At 40.2% G+C, this 2,465-nt stretch overlaps 1 annotated feature.

Moving 5' to 3' along the window:
- Nucleotides 749-1,948: an enhancer, noted in NCBI's record as "MED14-independent group 3 enhancer chr14:26750237-26751436 (GRCh37/hg19 assembly coordinates)". NCBI's record gives its function as "activates an origin of replication core promoter dependent on BRD2, BRD4, P300/CBP and CDK7 cofactors, and independent of MED14, by STARR-seq in HCT116 cells {active_cell/tissue: HCT116}" and the evidence as "EXISTENCE:reporter gene assay evidence [ECO:0000049][PMID:35650434]".

The raw sequence follows: 2,465 nt of genomic DNA, 5'->3' as shown, positions 1-2,465 counted from the left end.
GTGTGTTTCCTGGTTAATTCTGTAGACTCCAGAGTCTTGTTTCGCCTGGTTTACTACAGAGCTCAGACCTTCGGGGGCAACCTGTTCCTTTTGCAGTGGAGCTTTCCTCTCCCTGGTATATGTGGTTGCTGGCAGTGATATCCTGAACTTGGCCTGTACTGACTTGTGAGAGCTGACTGTTAAATTTTCAGGAATTTTGTGAGCTGGGTTATGTCATGTAGGAGCTTGAAATGGGTCCTGGTTTGAGTATTTATACCACAGAAATCAGCAAATACCACAAATCAGGGTTTCTCCTACCCTAAGAGCCAGCTGTTTAACATATACTAGCACACCACTGGTAATAGGCAATAGTTCCTTACTATGGTACTGAGGGCTAACTGGAAAAAATATTTGATAACCCAAAGAACAAATGTTTCTTGCTTTTTGTTTCTGAAAACAGAAAGCAGCTGCACAAATACAGCTGAAAATCTTTTAGGAAAAAAATTTCTTTTCCCTACTCCCTCTCCGTCTCCATCTCACTCATTCCCAGCCCTCATTCTCTTTTTTTCTTTTGTTTTTCTTCAACTTTTATTTTTATTTCCGGAGTACATGTGCAGGATGTGCAGGTTTGTTACATAAGTAAACGTGTGCCATGTTGGTTTGCTGCACAGACCACCCCTCACCTAAGTATTAAGCCCAGCGTCCATTAGCTATTCTTCCTGTTGCTCTATCTTCCCTCACCCCCACCCCAACAGGCCCCAGTGTGTGTTGTTCCCCGCCATGTGTCCACGTGTTCTCATTGTTCAGCTCCCACTTGTGAATGACAATATGCAATGTTTGTTTTTCTGTTTCTGTGTTAGTTTGCTGAGGATAATGGCTTCAAGCTCCATCCATGTCCCTGCAAAGGACATGATCTCATTCCTTTTTATGCCAGCCCTCATTTTTGAATCTCTTCCCTTTCAAGTTTGTGCCAAATCAGAAATTCTCCAAGGTTGTTTCTTTTTGTAGTATTTCTACAAAATGAACATTTTACTATTTATTTGGTTTCTACCATTTGCCAAATGTGGAGCTTTATAATATGACTTTTATGTTAGGGCTGCAAAAAATTTTGTGAAAGACTGATGATTACATAGCCTCAATTCGACTCTAGATAGAGGCCCAAACTCAGGTTAAGCTGACATTCTTTTTATCCTCAATTCTGCTGAGTCACTATGAGAAGGCAAATATTGTCAGAAGCCTTGCGTCTGAATGCTGGGCATACCAAACTCTTTGGAAGGGAGGTGGCTGGGAAACACCTACTCTAGGCTTTTGGTGTTTCTTTTCCTGCAGAGGGTGCTTCACTAGAACAACTTTTCTGATTTTTTATTCCTTTGCATACTCCTCTCTAGGAGAAGTGAAGTGGCTTATGTTTTTCATCAGTTTCAAAGCCCCCTCTTCTCATATTTTCTCCCCTCTTTGGGACCCAGCTGCCAAGGAACAGGCTTTGTGTCCCATCCCCCATGCGGTATGTTTCACATGGTGAGACCTCCAGCCCATCAAGCTCTGTCTGTGCCTGGTTAAGACTCTATCTTTAATTTTAGGGTTGTTATACCACTATATCATGTTCTAGTGGTTGCTATACCGCTATATCTAGTGGTTGATATAGTGGTTGTTATACCTCTATATCATGTTCTAGTCTAGTCATAATAATGAAGGTGATATTCTATTCTCCGTTTTCAGTTCCTTTGCCTGCATTAAGCATTCAGAAGTCAAGAAAAGAAGAGTGTGGTTTCTTGGGCTGCTTCAGAAGCCAAAATTAAGGTAATCTTTGGAAAGCCACTTACTGTTTCTGTGTCAGTAAGAAAGAGAGGGAAATTACCACTGTTTTAGCGTTCCTTGATTCACAGAATATTTATGGAACACCTATTACATTTACTGAATGTCCAGTATGTGTCAAGAGCTGTTTGAGGTCCTAGGAATAGTCTGTCCCAGATACTGTGAGGGCATCTATAGACATACAAAGTAAAAAGAATTCCTACTTGCATAGTGTTCACAATCTAGAACAGAACTATAATATAATACTCCAAGTGCCATAATAGGAGTACAGGGGACAGAACACCTAACTTTTCCCAGCTAGAATTCAAGGAGAGAAAACAATAGATATTTTTTCTTAAATCGCCTCCCCCAAACAAATCTTTTACTAAACTCATTTTTCTTTTTATTCCTACTCAGTTTCTAGGAAATACATTAATAAAAAATAGAAATAGAAAAAAAAAAAGAAGCTGGCTAATCTATGTACTATCATTGATCTTTAAAAAACTAAGAATTGACTAGCCTGACATGTGCTAGCCTGCTACTACTGCTGCTGTAACAAAGTACTACAAACTGAGAGGCTGAAAGAACAGAAATACACTTCTCACAGATCTGGACACTAAAAGTCTGAGATCAAGTCTGAGTGTCAGCAGGGCTGGTTCCTTCTGAAGCCCCTCTCCTTGACTTGTAGATAG

Source organism: Homo sapiens, chromosome 14, assembly GCF_000001405.40.
Source record: "Homo sapiens chromosome 14, GRCh38.p14 Primary Assembly".
NCBI classification, from domain to species: Eukaryota; Metazoa; Chordata; class Mammalia; order Primates; family Hominidae; genus Homo; species Homo sapiens.
The sequence above is the reverse complement of the archived record's forward strand: the minus strand, read 5'-3'. Positions and strand labels throughout refer to the sequence as shown.